At 34.4% G+C, this 18,324-nt stretch overlaps 1 annotated feature.

The window, feature by feature from the left end:
* Positions 17,182 to 17,382: a silencer, noted in NCBI's record as "peak3178 fragment used in MPRA reporter construct". NCBI's record gives its function as "represses an SCP1 promoter by STARR-seq MPRAs in K562 erythroleukemia cells {active_cell/tissue: K562}" and the evidence as "EXISTENCE:reporter gene assay evidence [ECO:0000049][PMID:32103011]".

Genomic DNA, 18,324 nt, shown 5'->3' with positions numbered 1-18,324 from the left:
AATTCTGCTTAAAATCAATATTTAAAAAAAATAACATATTAAAACAATTGGCTAATATAAGACAAGTTTCATTTAGTATGTGCGATGTGGGATAAAAGTGATTTTATTGCTAGGGATGACACATTGCAACTCAAAACACATGTATGGATTACTTTTCAAGAAGATATAAACTAGCAATTTTTTAAAAAATCAGACTAAGTAATTATAATATTAAGATTGTATAGCATTGAATATCTTTATTAATGTTCTGCATTTGTTCTTAGATTATGTAAGGATTCATGTTTTTTTACCTATTATTCCCTTATGCACAATATAAAACATTTAATTTATGAGATACACGTATCAAAGAACAAAAAGAAAGACATGCGGATGACAGAAATAATATTCAACTTTTTAAAGTTAAGAAAAAAACAAAACAAATTTCATTACGAGTTATATGACATATTTATTATGTTATGTATAATAATCTACCCAAATAAACCACTTTTCAAAAAATACTAAGTTTTTTCAATCTCAAAAATATTAGTTTATCCCATAATGGCACAATGATTTGTTTTTAGTTGTACACATATATGTCTATCATGCCCTCATTTGCCTGCAATCAATTTTTCTTCCTTTATGACGTGAGGGAAGAGGGGGGAAACAAAAGTGGCCTTCTCTAATCTTCTTGCAAACTTACTAATAAACAGCAAGCTATTGATAATAGCAGAGGCGCAGTTGTTGTCTATGGAATTGTGTTAGCAGGATGGCCCCTTTATTGGACTGGTTATGGTAAACAAACTAGCGTCTATGGTTTTATAGGACAAGGCTCCTTGGAAAATGACATGTAAGCTATAAGCTTATGTAGATGGAAATGAAGATTTCATAAAATAGAATGCTCCCTTTCACACAAGGTGATTGCACACATGATTAGAGACCTCATCTTTGAATCCGGGCTTGAAAGCACAGGTGGGATGTGAGGAGAAAAGACCTACGGAGCCACACTCAATGTCCTAGGCCTCCTAGCTTGCTTGTGAGTCTCGTTGTTAGTCGGAAATTATTAGTAAATAAGATTCGATAAACTCTCGGATTCATCTGCATCTGGTTTGATTATCTGATCTTTGTGTTAGTGAGCACAAACATATTCGCACCTGCTCAGGTCTTTTCAATGTTCTGTTTCTTCTATGATCTTTCTTCAGCTTGATTGTCCTTCACATTAGGTACTTCCGTCAAGCATCCCCTCAGTTTTGGCTATTTACTCACATGTAAGATGAGGACATTTTAAAGCTAACTCGGAACTTTGTCTATATGTGTGGTGCCTGTTCACTTGTGAGCAATGCATTAGGGCGATTGGTGGGATTTTCTCTTGTGCAGGTCATGATCTTCCTGCACCTGCACCCTTCAGCCCCAAGAAGTCTCCTTTCTCCTACAGAACACATAATTTGGCCATTAGTATTCTAAAAATCATATGCAGGAAATAGGAACATAACTTTTCCATATAAATTTTACCTAGTTCCTGTATTTTCACTATCTCTCTCTCACACACACACACTCACACACACACTCTTACACACATATCTTCAATGGTGTCTACTCTCTCTAAGGCCAGAGAACACAATAAATAACTTCTCTAGAGCATAGCTTATTCTAGGCAGTAAGAGGAGCAGAAAGGAGGGAAGGAATCTGCAAATTTATCTTTTCTTTGGAATTTTTTTTCCTAGTCCTTTCATTTTTAGTCCTTTCCCTCTCCCTTCCCTGGTAGGTATCTTCAATTCTGGAGGCTTTCGCAGGAACACAGGTGGTGTATAGTCTGTTCTCACATTGCTATGAAGAAATACCTGAGAGTGGATGATTTACAAAGAAAAGCGTTGTAATTGGCTCATGGTTCTGCCGGCTGTTCAGGAAGCATGGTGCTGGCATCTGCTTGGCTTCTGGAGGTCTTAGGAAACTTTCAATCGTGGAGGAAGGCAAAGGGGAAGCAGTCACATCTTATATGACCAGAGCAGGAGGCAGAATGAATGGGGAGAGGTTCCACACACTTTTAAACAACCATGGGAGTAGCAATAAAAGGATAGTGCTACACCATTCATGAGCAACTGCCCTGGACAATCACCTCCCACGAGGCCCTACATCCGATACTGGGGATGACAAAACGACATGAGATGTAGGTGGGGACACAGATCCAAACCAGAGCAGATGGAAATCAAATTTCTTCTTGTTGAGTTACTTTCCTGAAAGCATAGGTTTCAGCTTTTCCTCGCTTGTTGAGAAAATTACAACTTGTCCATCTGCTTTTCAGTTTTCAAATTATTAATTTGTCTCCTTGTATATATCTTTCAGGGTTTATGCCTTTTTAATCATATTAATATTTTTAATTTGAAAGTATAAATAATAAAAACAGGTGTTCTTGAACATACGTGTTGTTCATTTTTCATAGCAAATTCCAAGGATCAATTCCAAAAAGTTTAATTATGAAGTCAAACAAAGCACAGGTGAATTTAAAAGGCTTTTGGTACTTATTGAGAAATTGTGCTCCAGGTAATAGGGGTAAAGATGCACTTCTACCAGAAATATGTTTATGTCATTTTCTTTGTACGCTAAAATTCTTATCAGTAATATAGTTTTAGCTTTTAGAAACATATGTAATAATTAATTATTTTGGAATATATATTAGATGCCAAGGACTTTTCAAAATTTTTTTATTATTAAATATTTTAAACTTTACAATAACCTTGAGATAGGTACTATCTTTAATGCCATTTTGTAGCTAAAAGTGCGGAAGCAAAATTAGGGTAAGCAACTCACCGGTGGTAATAATCTGAGAAATGGCAGTCAGGGTTCAACACGGGAATTGCAGCTCCTTTCAACTATTGTGCTAGATTGCTTCTCTTACAAAGTAATACACACAATGTATTCACACCATGTCCTAATTGATCTTAGCATTGCCACTTCTGCCGAATCTTTGTTCATATCTACCGAGCATGTCTTTATTCTTTTTTTTTTAGACGGAGTTTTGCTCTTGTTGCCCAAGCTAGAGTGCAATGGCATTATCTTGGCTCACTGCAACCTCTGTCTCCCAGTTCTGCCTGAGACTACCGAGTAGCTGGGATTACAGGCACCCGCCACCACGCCTGGCTTTTTGTGTTTTTAGTAGAAACGTGGTTTCACCAAGTTAGCCAGGCTGGTCTCAAACTCCTAACCTCAGGTGATCCGCCCAGCTCAGCCTCCCAAAGTGCTGGGATTACAGGCGTGACCCAATGTCTTAATCTTTTAAGTCTTCTTTTATTATTTAACTTGAGCAAGTCTTTTGTTGAGGGCAATTCTTATTTTGCCTTTTCAATGCCTGAAAAAACTTTCCAAAGACAGGTAGGAGAAACTCTCATCTGTCACTATGGTGGTAAAAAATGGGCAACAATTCCTTGCTCTGCCCCTTGATGGGTATGACATGGGCAAGGAATAGGAACACCCATGGGTAGAGGAGCTGGAAACAGCAGGGTCTATTCTAGGACGGTTATATCCAGTGAATTCTGTGAGTGCGTCTTGGTCTTGCTTCCTGCGATTCTGTGAACACACTTCTGGCCTTCTTGTTAATTTTATGAGGCACTAAATAGCCTTCCAGTAAACTTTATGCTTCAGTTAAACTGAATTTAAACTGAACTTGTTTCTTTAATGTTACTTTTGGAACCAATGTGAGAAAATGTTTAAATAAAAATGTGTTTATTTATAAAAGTTTTCACTCCTGAAGAAATTTTAAGAGGTAACCATCTAAGCATGTATGATCAAATTAAGCACACTTATTAAGCTTCATTTCTGTTTCAGAGATTATTTTTAAGAAATAAATTGTTACAGATGTAACATGTTCCCTTTTTAAATCTTACATGTAATTCTTTTCTGAAATTGGTATATTTCATGTATATGATTTTTTAAAAAAACTTTTATTACCAACATATATATCCATGTAACATACATTATTGCTTTGTGGGTTTCAACATTTGCATTAAAATATCATGTTGTATATCGGTTTTCATTATTTAATATTGGATTTCTGAAATTCATGCACAATATTACATATAGAACAAATTCATTTATTTTTAATGTTGCATAATTTATTTTTTACTAAATAATAAGCCAGTTTGTTTATATAGTCCCTAGTAAGACTGGATAATGGTTTCTCAGATGCTGTTAACTCTTCTAAATATTGTAAACAGTCCTATAATATCCTCTTGTGCATATATGAATAAGTGCTCCTGTAGACATCTATATTTGTAATTGCTGCTCTTATACTGTGTACTACTCACTGGGTATTTACAAATGGCTCTTCTAAGTAATTTTATTCAAAGTATATTCCAGTGATCAGTCTCATTTGCCAATTCTCATATATTGTAATAATTGATATGCTAAAGATAATTATCTTAATAATGTTAGTAGTAAAATTTTATTGTCTTATTATTTGTCAAGGACAGAGAATTTCTAGTTTATTCTAAATATCTTCTTAACTTAATTCATCTCTGATATATCCCAGAAACCTTTCTGGGTTTCGTTACTAATATTAGCTTTTTTCCCTTATGTGTATCGCATACACTTGGTGACTTGTGATACATTAAAATTAATTTAGAAAACTACATCTTTACAAGATTCAGCCTTTCTATCTAGGATTATAAGTAGGTTTCTTTAGCATTTATCTTGTACTTAGAAGATTTACTGAACTTTCTATACATAGTAATTTCTCAATTAAGCCCGTTAAAATTTTTGAGTCTGTATTTAAAATGTTTTCAAATAAAAAAATTAATTTTCTTTTCCCAAATTACAGCATTCATTTCATGTTTATTTTATTGGTCAGAGTCATAATAATAACTTTTAAAAATATGAGGTATGGTAATATCCTTTTTATATTCTTCCTTGGAATGTTTCTGGTATGTTTTACTATCAGTTTAACATTTAAATGTAGAATATTTCTATTTATAGATGCACAAATATATATTAAACACTCCACTCTCTTCAAAACTCAAGACAAACTTGATCCCTTTTTTAAATTTGTTATTTTTCCAAAATTATAGAAGAAAGAACAGAATTTCATAACAAAATATGCATATGGTGGTCATTTTTATGTCCTCGATTTTTAACATTTTCTTTGTTTTGATAATAAAGTTGTGATTTTACAGTAAACTGAATGCCCTACCCTGTTTTCCCTAAATAGAACTGAAGAGTCTTTTGTTGTATCGAAGAGCATATTATCATTGTTGAGTTATCATTATATGGCTATTAACAAACAAAATAAATGTAATCAAATATAAATAAATAATTAACATACAATGACGCCACTGTGATATGAAAAATTTTACTTAACAAATGACTTGGCCCACCAAATTGCTATGATTAACTACTGATGCAAACAAAATCAATTATTGATACAAATAAAGATTAATACCACTCTCTCCCCTAGTAGATGCAATTCCCTGGTTATTTCAGTTGGAAAATAAATAGTACAGAATCTGCACTTTTTCACAATTATTATTATTTAGCTTGATAATAAAAAAACAGGCTGAATTTTAGGAAATTTTATTTTCACTCACATAGGGATTTCTAACTAATACAATCAAGCAAATTGTCAGTCTATTGCTAAATATGATTTTTACATGCCTGTTAGATGATGTGCATCATATTAATACCCTGAACACTTTTCCAAATAGCATCTTGCTAATTTTTTTTGTACAATAATAATTTTGTCTAAAAATAATTATCACTGGGCCCATTACACTCTGAAATAGTCAGCTGCACATTTAAGAATAGCAAGGTGGTGTTTTTTAAATACAGGACACCAAGGAAAATTCTGTAACAATGTAAAACTTAGTATCATAATTAGAAGGAATGTTTCAATAGATTTGAATAAACAGACCATAATATCAGGGAGAATACTTATATGAAAACACGCTCTCAATGTCTTTATACAGTAGTTACAGACTTGATGAAATTAGTTTCTTTAGTATCAAAACATAAGTTAAAACATCTCAAACATCTTGAATACATATTTATAAATTGTCTTGATAATCAGAATATTTTCTTCAACAATAAATTCTGTTGATATTTAAATAAATTATTCCAAACATATTTATTTAATAACAAACATTAGCTAGCAAAAGAGGATTTTTTATACTAAATTTGCATGATAAATAGTATTTTATGAATGCTTACACTGTCTTATATGTTATAGCATATACTCAAACATCTGGTGAAAATTGCCAGATTGAGTCTGTCTGTAGTGTTGAAATAAAACTTCAGTTTTCAGTTGCACCATTTTAATTGTCAAAATAAAATGAAAAAGTAATGAATATGTTGCCAAGTTAAACGAAATCTTTACAACTGAATAGTAAGTAAACCAATATTTATTAAAATATTAGTTTATCCTTTCTGCTGAAAAGTATTTTCTCAGGTCAGCTATTTTTTTGCATATGAAAGACCTGAACTAATGCATCAAGAGCTTTGTAATTAAGGAGGGAACAAATTTTAGAAATGAGACTTGAATAATTTTTTAAAATTATATTCTTTGTGAAGTGATATAGCAGTTCTCATGTGCCATTTGTTTCTTCTATTTTACCAGTTTTTAATGTCATGATTCATACTTATAGGAGCCAAATTTATTATTTAAAAAGTTTGAATAGGTTCTTATTAAATGTATGAGAAACTAAAAATATATTTGGGTGTCTCTTTGAGGCTTATGCTGTAAAAAAGTAATAAAACCCAATATTTATAGCACAATGTGTTGAAATAAATCTCAAAATGCCAAATTTAATCTTTTTGGCTCACAGTTAAAAACCATATAACCATTTTTCATTACATTTAAGCAGATCTTTAAAATTTTATTAAATTAAAGATGCAGTTCTTTAAAATTTCAATAAATTCACAATGTGTACATATTCTCATGAATCATAACTTAAGTCTATGGTCACACTGCCCTGAAGGTCCCTGGTGTCCTCTGAATCATAGCTTAATAACTTCCTTCCCATGCCATCTCAAAGCAGTTTAAACTATCAACTTGGTGAAGAATTACCATTCTTTGTTATTTTAATACCAACAATACTTTCTTGAGAAGGTATGCTATGTTTGTTACTGGTCTTGTCTTTTCTCTTATAATATATTAATAAATCTTAAAAATCTATTGTCAATTTAGTCATACAATTTTGTCTTTTAAAATTATCAAGGTTATTGGAATACATGGAGTAAATGTCAATATTATATAAATAATTATTTTGGGACAGGAAAGTCAGGCTTTTACCTAAATATAAACATTCAAATTTAAAAATGAAAACTTATATTTTGAATAAACATTTCTGGCACCTTTCTGACTCAGAAATAATAAGAGTGGAACAAGAAAGTGTTATGAAAGAAAAAGAAGATAATTTTCGTGATGACAATGGAAGATATTACTCTCACTGTATTTTAGAAATAGTTAGATTTCTGCTCAGGATATTTTAGGTTATTGCATTTTCAACATTGTTTCAGTTGATTTAAATTACTTGTTTTCTCAATTCAATCAGGAACACTATATCCAGTAACCCCTGAATTAATTATACTTAGAAGTATAATTCTGCAATTTAGAAAAGTATAAGTGCTATTAGGTTTGCTTAGCTCAGGCTGCTATAACAAAATACCACAGACTGAGTGACTTAAACAACAGGTATTTATTTATTTATTTTATTATTTATTTAGTTATTTATTTTTGAGACGGAGTCTCGCTCTGTCTCCCAGACTGGAGTGCAATGGCGTGGTCTCAGCTCACTGCAACCTCTGCCTCCTGGGTTCAAGCAATTCTCTTGCCTCAACCTCCTGAGTACCCGGGATTACAGGCAACCGCCACCACGTCCGGCTAATTTTTGTGTTTTTAGTAGAGACAGGGGTTTCACCATGTTGGTCAAGCTGTTCTTGAACTCCTGACCTTGTGATCTGCCCGCTTCCGCCTCCCAAAGTGCTGGGATTACAGGCGTGAGCCACCGCGCCCAGCCAGTTATTTATTTTTCACAGTCGTGGAGTCTAAGAAATCTATGATTATGGTGCCGGTAGATTCCGTTTCAGGTGAGGTAAAGATACTCTTACTGGCTTGAAGAAAGGCCACCTTCTCACTGTGTCCTCATACCACAGAGAGAGGGAGAACATTGGTCTCTCTTCCTCTTATTATCAGGGCATTAATCCCATCGTGCTGTCCCACCCTTATGACCTCATCTAAACCTAATTACCTTCCAAAGACCCCACTTCCAGCTACCATCCTATTGGGAGTTAGGACATCAACACATGAACTTTAGGGAGACACAAGCATTTGGTCCAGAACAAAGGCTAAAGAGAATACTATACTTAATATAACATTCATTAATCATAGCATATTGAGGGATAAGAAATATCTTTTGTCAATATTGGCAGTCATGGGAATCAGGAGAACTCTTTCTTATTAGTTCTCTTGTATTGGGTAATCACTTTACTTTTGTAGTCCTCAGCTTCATCCTCTGTAAAGTTGAGGGATGGAGTAAATTACATTAAGGTACTTTTCAACTCTTAACATTTATGGGCTTGGAAAAATTTATATTGACAATTTTTGCTATTTGTCTTAGTCTGGATGTTATTAAACATGTTTAAACATCTTGCAATTTTGAAAGCCATAAATTAGTTACACACACTAAAAGCTCTGAGCTCCTGAGATAAACTACTTCTTGTTTTTTCTTCTCATTTTATTTCTGATTTTGCTTCCTAAAACTTAATCCATATGCTATTTAATCCAAATTTTGCACTACTGTATGTAGATATAAATTATTAATTAAACTTTTTAACCATTCCAATATTTTTCTATTCACTAATAAACATATTTCCAATATCTAATACTTATTTATAAAGGACAAGCATTTCTTTTCCCTTTAAATCATAGCAAGTAATGCTCGTCAGTCTTGACACCCAGAATGTCAGTAAGACTTGCAGAGGCAGCCGTAATGGCAGCTGTCAGCTTCAGAGTAGATGAGAAACAAAATCTGTCACGAGACTTGAAAACTTTAGACATCACCACAGTTAATTTAGCAGCCATGACCAGTATATTAAAAGCCTGTGCTACAATAAAACTCACCTTTGTTTCACCATGAATATATAGGCTAACGGAGATTCAAATCTAGTTTTTTGTTACTTTTGCTAAAGTAACACTCCTTTTGCTATGACACTGTCACTAAGAATGCAGGCTTATTTACAAATTAACATTGTTAGCTTGCACAATTCTTCTTTATGAACATTGTACATTCTTTTTTATGAACTGATGCTGGTGTTTCTTTATTTTGCCAGATAACTTTAACAAGGTGGAAGTTATAGGACATTAGAGCCATGTTCATGCCTATGTCCTATTGTGGCTTATGTAATATAGATATGATTGTTCTCAGGACATTTCAGCTGCCCTTTCATTCTTGGGAAGCTCTTGGCTGAGTGTTTAAATGATTACAATTGAACATAGAGGAAAAACAGATTGTAGAAATACAAACTCTCTGCATGGTCTCTATTGAACCCTTGTAAAATACTCTGATTCCAGAAAAAGATTAGTTAAATTGTAATTTGTGAAATTGTTATAACTTACTTGTTGCTTTTTCCGGAGCTATTTCTTTAATATGGGAGTCTGATCTTAGCAATTTGGGAGACTGAGGTGGAAGGGTCATTTGAGGCCAAAAGTTTGGGACCAGCCTGGGTACCATAGCAAGACTCCAATTCTACAAAAAATAAATGTAGCCAGGCATGTTGCCATGAGCCTGTAGCCCTACCTACTCAGGAAGCAGAAGCAGGAAAACTGCTTGAGCCTAGGAGTTCAAGGCTGCAGTGAGCTATGATCGTGCTACTGTACTCCAGCCTAGGAAACATAGCAAGACCCTATCTAAGAATAAATAAATAAATATTGAAGTCTGAAAACATATACAGATAGAAGTATATTCTGATGTGTGTGTGTGTGTGTGTGTATATACCAATTTATCCTTTTTCCTATGAAATATCTTTCTTTATAAATTTTCAGCTATGTTATTTATTTTAACTTTTCAAAATCAGAAGTATATTCTGATGTGTGTGTGTGTATATATATACATATATATACCAGTTTATCATTTTTCCTATGAAATGTCTTTATACATTTTCAGCTGTGTTATTTATTTTAACTTTTTTAAATTACAACAATTAATAACCCTATTATTAATTTTATCATCTTATAGGCAAGTTTACAGTTTTTCAATGTCACCAGAAGATAACGCTATACTATTACCATGTAAACACATTACACTAGTAGTACAAAAATTTTTTATCGTATGTTAAATATATGAGCTGATATTAAAGAACAATTATCTATATCAAAGATATTCTGTGTTTATGATTTAGAAGATTTAACATAGCTAAGATGACAATATTCCCCACGTTAGTCTATGTATTCACCAACAAATCTATCAAAACTTTAACTGACCTTTTTTTGTATTTTTGCAAAAATTGACAAGCTGATCCTTAAATTTATATGAAAATGCAAGAAATCATAACAGCCAAAACAATAATAAGAAAGAACCAAGTCTGAGGACACTTTTCCTAATTTTAAATCTTACTACATTTCTTAGCTTCAAAACTTACTACAAATCTTCAGTAATCAATTTTGTATTGTACTAGAATTAGATATACATAGACAATAGAATTGAGAAACCAGAAATAAATACTTATATTTATAGTCAATTTATTTTTGACAAGCGTACCTAGACAATTCACTGGAGAAGAATATTTTTTTTTCCAGCAAATGATTCTGGGACAAGTGGAAACCCACATGAGAAAAGTAACAATGTTGGACTCCTATCTAATACTATGTACAAAAACCGACTCAAATAGATAAAGACATAAATATAAGATCTAAAACTATAAAACCCTTTAAGGAAAATATAGGTGTAAATCTTTATGACATTGGATTAGGTAATTGTTTCTTAGGCCTGACCCTAAAAGCACAAGCAACTAAAAAAAAAAAAAAGATCAACTGGGCTTCGTAAAAACTAATGACTATTGCCCTTCAAAGAGCAGTATCAATGAAGTCAAAAGACAATTCATACAATGCAGAAAACATTTGCAAATTTTATGTGAGTCCAGTATATATAATATTTAAAGAAATTGTATATCTCAGTAATAAATAGACTACCCAATTAAAGATACATGAAATATTTGAATACACATTTTCCCAAGATGTACAATAAGTTTATGAAGATATGTTCAACATCATTAACAATTAGATAAATGCAAAACGAAGTCATTATGAAATGCCAATTCACAGCCACTAAAAGAGTTATAATAAAAAAGTTGGTTACCGACAAGTGTTGGCAAAAATGTGGGGAAATAAGAACTCTCTCACATTACTTGTGGGAATTTACATGACCTCATGTGTAGTAAACATAGACACAGATGATAAAAAAGTGATTAGATAGGTGTGTAACACAAGTTAGTATAGACACATATAATTGATTGTTCTGTCTGCTGAGAGAGCCTAGAAGCAACAACACCACAGTAGTAATCAGCACAATTAGTGCCCAGCTCTTGTTTTTTTTTTTAAGACGGAGTCTTGCTCCATCGCCCAGCTGGAGTGCAATGGTGCGGTCTCGGCTCACTGCAACCTCCCCAAGCCAGGTTCAAGGAATTCTCCTGCCTCAGCCTCCTGAGTAGCTGGGATTACAGGCATGTGCCACCACGCTTGGCTAATTTTTGTATTTTTAGTAGAGATGGGGTTTCACCATGTTGGCCAGGCTGGTCTCCAGCTCCTGATCTCAGGTGATCCACCCACCTCGGCCTCCCAAAGTGCAGATCTTGGTTTTAATATTATTCTCTGATAAAAGCAGCCAGAGCATCTTGGATATCTGAAACTCAAAATACATAAGATGATCCTGGACCATCTTACAGTGCCAAAAGGTAAGAAAGTGCCAAACAAAAAAAATGGAGGGATATCCAGGAGGTACAGTAGCTAACAGAAAGAGTCTTTGTAGGCAAATCTAGAATACTATGAACAATTAATAATTAAATAAATTTAAATTGAAGAATAATGAAAACTATAAAATAAATATAAATGGATGTATACTGTTACAAATTAAGTGGTTGAATAAGTAAATAATTAGGGTAAAATAGACAAAGCTCAAGTAGAGAGTTCCAAAAAATGTATTTATATACTCCATCACCAAGGAGGCAGAGCATAGCTTCCCACACCTTACATGCCTATTGTCTAATGAATATAGTATGGAAATTTGGAGGAAAAGCATGACTTCATCCTTTTCCTCCTTTGTTTCCAGGGCAAACAAAGGAAACCTGACACGCCCGACCTCAGCCAGGTCAGAGTTAACACCATCAGTGATGTGTTGATAGTATGTACCCTTGATAGGATGTGATGAGAATGGCCTTTCAGCTCTGTGGTCTTCCTCCTCAAACTACTGCACAAGTCTAATCATGAGAAAAAGTTGAGTAAAATCCACATCGAGAGACATCATACAAAATGTCTGCCTAGTACTACTCAAAACTGTCAAGATCATCAAGTAAAGTAAGTAAAATCTAGAAAACTGTCACAGCCAAAGAGTAGCCTAAAGAGACACGATAACTACATGTAATGTGGTATCTTAGATAAAAAGACATTGTATTAAAAACCCAGGAAATCACAATAAAGTAGGTACTTTAGCTGATAATTGTGAATGAATATAGATACACCAGTTGTGACTAATACACCATAGTAATGTTAACAATAGGAAAATCTGTGTGCCAGGTATATCTAATGTGCTGGGATATGACTGCAATTTTTCTGCAAATATAAATCTATCCTAAAATTAAAAGTTTATTTAAAATACTCAGTAGGAGTAGGATGCAGTAATCCCAGCTAATCAAGAGGCTAAGTTGGGAGGATCACTTGAGCTCAGGAGTTCAAGGCTAGCCTGGGAAACATCATGAGACTTCATATCTAAAACAAAGAAACAAACAAAACTTATTATTAAGGAAATTCATGGTCAAATACAAAACTACAAAATGATAAAAAAATTTGAATAATTACTTCATCAAAGAAGATAAATAGATGGCAAATAAACACAGCAAAAGGTCATCAATCATTAGTTATTAACGCAATAAAAACCATAATGAGATACTTCACACCTTTTAGAATGGCTTGAATTAAAAGCAGACTTACCATATGAAGTGTGAGTGAAAATCTGGGGGTAGCTGGACAACTTATACACTACTAGTGGGACTGTAAAATGTATGAAAACTTCAGAAAACAGTTTGTGATAGCCTAAAAAGTTAAATATGTACCTCTCAGTTGATCCAGCTATTTCACTCCTAAGTATTTACCCAGAAGAAAGTAAAGCATAGGCCCATAACAAAATGTGTCCATGAATATTCAAATTGGCTATATTTTTAATGGTCGTAACTTAGAAGAAACAACTTAGATGCCTATGAATAGTTGAGTGGATAAACAGATAGAGGTATATACGCATGACTGGATACTACTTGACGCCAAGGGATAAACTATTGATACATGAAACAGCATCTATAAACAATTATAGTAAATGAAAGAAGCCATACCAAAAAATATATATTGTATGATTTCATTTATACAAAAACTCACAAAAATCCAAACTATTCTATAGTAACAGAAGCTCCATCTGTGTTTGCCTGAGGAGGAGAGGTAGGAAAAAAGTGGAAAGAAAGAATTAAGAGGACTAAGAGAAACATTTTGGAGTGATGAGAATTTGCTTACAGTCTTGACTTTAGTCGTGGTTTCAAGGATGTGTACAAAGGTCACAACCCATCATGTTGTGCATTTTTAATATGTGTAGTTTGTTGTATGTAAATTATACCTCAATCAAACTTTAGAAATGCTTTTACAATAACACTTAGCAGTCTCTATGCATCTCAAATCCATATAGATGTTACTCCTTTTGGGTATATATGTAGAATTTGATTCCAAGTAGTTAGGTTGAATATCAAGACATGCTAGGAAGAAATAATTCCCACGTATTTCTGTCTCGCATATTCATTTCTTAGTGTAATTACATTAAGAGATCTGGTTCTCTTACCAACAGAGAAATCAAGATAAATAAAAACATTTTTCTTCTTCTAAATTTTCTTTAGAATAATTTCCTGTGTTGATCTCTTGGTTTCCTAGAGACTGTCAAAATGAAACAGATTCTAAGAAAGTTAAATAAAGACTTCTTTTTATATCTTAAAGAATAAGCAGTCTCTCAGGCATATACGTTTTAGTGACAAGTAAAGTCAGCAATTATCCTTAGAAAAAATTAGTTAAAATATTCTTCAAATTACAATGCTAGTAGAGAGTGAGATTATTTAAAACTTTTATTAATATAAACATTTCTTCAATCATTATCAATTTCTCCTTAAAAAGGTGTTTGTTGAAAAGTTGATTTACTTAACTTCACTGTATATAAAAATATAAAGTGATACAGAAATGTTGGTAATAGATTTTTACAGAATTATTTCTGTATTTATATATTTTTTTATTTTGCTGAAGTATGAATACTTACAGTAAACTCTAGAGATGTTATACAGTTCCATGGGAGTTTTCAAAAGCATAAGGCAAACTACATACATCTCTACCAAGATACAAAACATTTCTATTATCCCAGAAACTTCCTTCATGTCCCTTTCCAGTCAATCCCCTCGAAGCCTAGAGACCGTCACTTTCCTCCAATTTTGTCAGACATTAATTATTCTTGAATAACAGATTAATTTTTATTAATATCTTAGACATTCAAAGTTATGAAAATGCAATTTCTCCTAGTAAATCTGTTGAGTTATTTTCTTCCTTGGTCAGTCCTGTCTTACTGTGTCTTTATCATGAATATGAAATATGAAATTGCAGAAGCAATGAATAGAAAAAATATTTAAGCTTATAATTTGTAATGTCAACCTCTGAATTTAAAGATAAGTGAAAGATGATTGAAAATAGTTTTATTTACTAAGAATAATCTAAGCATGAAAAACAATAAGCACATGAGTGCTCCCGTCTGAAAGCTTCTACTTCTTTATGCCTAAAAAGGAAGGTATAATTTTGAAATATAATGATATATGAAATTTGAAATTTTGAAAAAGCACAAGAAAAATGGGCTGGAAATAAAATCCAGTAGCTCATTTTAGAGTAATGAAAAAGTTTTGTAGAAACAAAAAGAAAAGCTAATGCGTACAGAAATTTCATATTAATTTGCTACACCTATGAAAGAAATAGACTTTTAGGTCTTCTGTACCTGTTTGTATGTAAGTGTGGTTTTTTGTTTGTTGGTTTTGTTTTTTACATAATCTTAGAGTAGTTGTTTAGCTCTGGACTTGAGAGTTACCGCGCTAGATTTCTGATGCAAAAACTTGAAATCCTCAAAGGGATAGATCTATCTCAGAGCCTACCAAACTCTTTAAAATTTGCATATATGGGAAGATGTCTAAAATAAACTGTCGCTACAATTACAATTTTCTTTAATATTTCTAATACAAATAAGAGATGCTATGTTGTGTAATAACAAAATATTTTATATCCTTGATATTACTCTGCTACAAAAAGATAAGTTATATCAACTCAGAAAGAAAAATTTGTAGACCACTATAGGAAATATGTTTAATATTTTCAAGGGTGTAGTCTATATTCAATTCAGACATTTTAAAAGGCCAAAACTATTTTATTATGTTTCTTTCAAAGTTATGACTCATGATAAGTGTAAAGAAGCCTTCATAGAGATACTTTCTCTTTCTGTTTTGGCTGGGATATCAAAGGAGCTAGAGATTGGAAAGCTAGTTTTACCCCGTCAGTGATCACCTAGTAAAGACAGTAGACAGTAGAGTGAGGATTTGTTTGGGAAAACTTTTCCATGTGTTCTCTGTTCCTAAAGCCCTACTGCCACAGGGAGAAAAGAAGGCACCTTTCCCTTTCATCAGATGAAAGTATCTTCAAGCAAAATACTTACTTCCTGGAATTTTTAGTTGATAACAGAGAAAAATGGCTGTATTGTAAACCAACTGCAGTATAAAACCTGTAAGATTTATTTTGGCAAAATGTACCTGTGACAGGAAGTAGATTCATGTTAGACTTACACATAGCTAGAAAATTACTTAGAGTAATGGTTCTCAAAGTGTGGTCTGTGAACCAGCAGCAGCAGCATCCACTGGGACCTTGTTATTCATGCAAATTATTGGGCCCTAACCCAGATGATTGAATCAGAAGCTTGTGATTCGCAAGCACTCCAGGTGATTTTGATGCCTGCTGATGTGAGAGAGGTGGTGCTGGTGGAGAGAGAGTCTGTGTGAAGAGGATGACTTATGGCCTGAGGCAGAGAGAGGAGTCCACAGCCAGCACCTAGAATATGGATGTCAGAAATCCACAATTGTAAGTTCCCTCAGAGAGGGATCCAGGACTGATAGATCCAGCCAGTTGTGACTTCTTCATCTCCTAAGGGAATGAACTCTAGATTCCAGTTGCTCTGGATTTGCAAAAGTGTTCACATTCCCTAATGCAGGGCCCCTCAGCCTGACTCAGGATCTTGGTAATGGACATGATTTTTTTTTTTTTTTTTTTTTTTTTTTTTTGCTGAATACCTATTAAAACCAAGGCCCTGAGGCACTTTATAAAATACCTAAGCCTGATAAGTTAAAATTGAAAGTGTGGGTAAAGTTCTGTGAATTCTGATACACAAAGAGGTATGAGAGGTACTGGACTAGTGAGAATCTGAGGAGGCAAAAATATAAACAAAAGAAGAATTCCAGCTTCTTCCATCCTATCTCCACTGCATGCATCTAAGCCTGAAAACTCCATAAAAGGATCAGGTAGAAGGTAGAAAAAGAAAGAAGTTTTCCTGAACAGGACTTTTAAACTACTAACTCCATTAATATTTCAATCCACTCAACAAATATTCATTGAGTACCTACTTTGTCATATGTACCCTTGGTCAGGTTCTAGCCCACACTGAGGTCCATGGGAAGTTGTTGGGCAGGTGGCGGGTAGCTGGAAAAACACCCAAGAAATCATAGGCAGTTGCAACATGGCTTTTTTCTCTCTCCAGTTGCAAGGCTTTGTCTTGGCTGCCCGCTCCAGCCACAGGCCCTCTCAGCACAGCACCATGGTTTCTGTTCATCCCCACACCTGCAGCTGTGTTCCCTGATGTGCTCGCCATTTCCTGGCTCTCCCCATCTGCCTGCAAGGTGGCCAGCTCCATTAGGCACATGCCCTCTCACAGTATCGGTGATACGTTTATGTAACTTACAGACAATAGTGACTCAAAGCCAGGTATGAGTTCACACAAACAGGTCACATAATGCATGGGATTGTGCACCTGCACTCCAAACCTGCTGTGTCATGCTGTACTGAATGTTTATTTCAACCTATTCTTGACTGAAGCACATTCATTTTCCTTACACTCCACCCCTTAGGCTGAGGGAGTTCTTTTAGTTGGGAGATGCGCCCACAGGGTAGAACACTGAAACCATAGGCCATAACAGCCATACAGAAAGCAACAACTTCAGGCTATGGTGGGCAACCACCCCATGGTGACATTACCCTAATGTTGCTCTATACATCGTGGTACCTGTGGTGGGAGCACCAGGTGTGTTTCTATCAGCCAGACCTACCCATCGTAAATTCTATGGGTCAGCCAGGGGGCAGGTATGCTATTAGTTCTGTGGCATTCTCTATTCAACCCTTGGCATGTTGCATTCCAGGCATTAGCCAAGGGACTTCAAGTCTCTAGCCATGTCCAGTTCTTCATAGAATGTGGATGTATGTGCCAGGACACACACAGACAATACATATGTTCCCTGGAAGAGGGTTCTTTTTCTGGCCATTCCTCTACTAATGGTTAATCGTGGAGGGCATACATTTAATACCCAAGGAGTGACATGTAAATTATACTGCAGGTCCTCCCCCCAGGGAGTTACAATGGCTAACCACCTGCAATGGGGGGTAGGAGGCTTGGAAGGTCCATGGCTGAAGCCAGATTTTTTGTTCTCCTACCTTTATGGCATTAGGGCAAGCAAGAACAAATTGCTGTTTGTTCCCATACCTGTTCAGAGGAGGTCATCCTTCCTCCCATAGGTCTTGCCACATGGATTGTCCCTACATGGGTTAGGGACCAATAGCCAAGTCTGTAACTTCCATGTAGTTAACCATAAGGTTAAGTCTTGATAAACTGCCCAGCTATTGGTGCAGATAACCATAGGTGTCACCTTCTTGGTGATCACTATTCACACTGCTCTGAGTTTAGCCCATTGGCTACTTTGTGTGCACCTGGTATTAAACCATATGGTGTCAGTACTAGGCTGGACTGTAACAGCAGTCTAGGCAGCAGCAGCACC

Source organism: Homo sapiens, chromosome 18 (assembly GCF_000001405.40).
Source record: "Homo sapiens chromosome 18, GRCh38.p14 Primary Assembly".
Classification (NCBI taxonomy): Eukaryota; Metazoa; Chordata; class Mammalia; order Primates; family Hominidae; genus Homo; species Homo sapiens.
The sequence above is the reverse complement of the archived record's forward strand: the minus strand, read 5'-3'. Positions and strand labels throughout refer to the sequence as shown.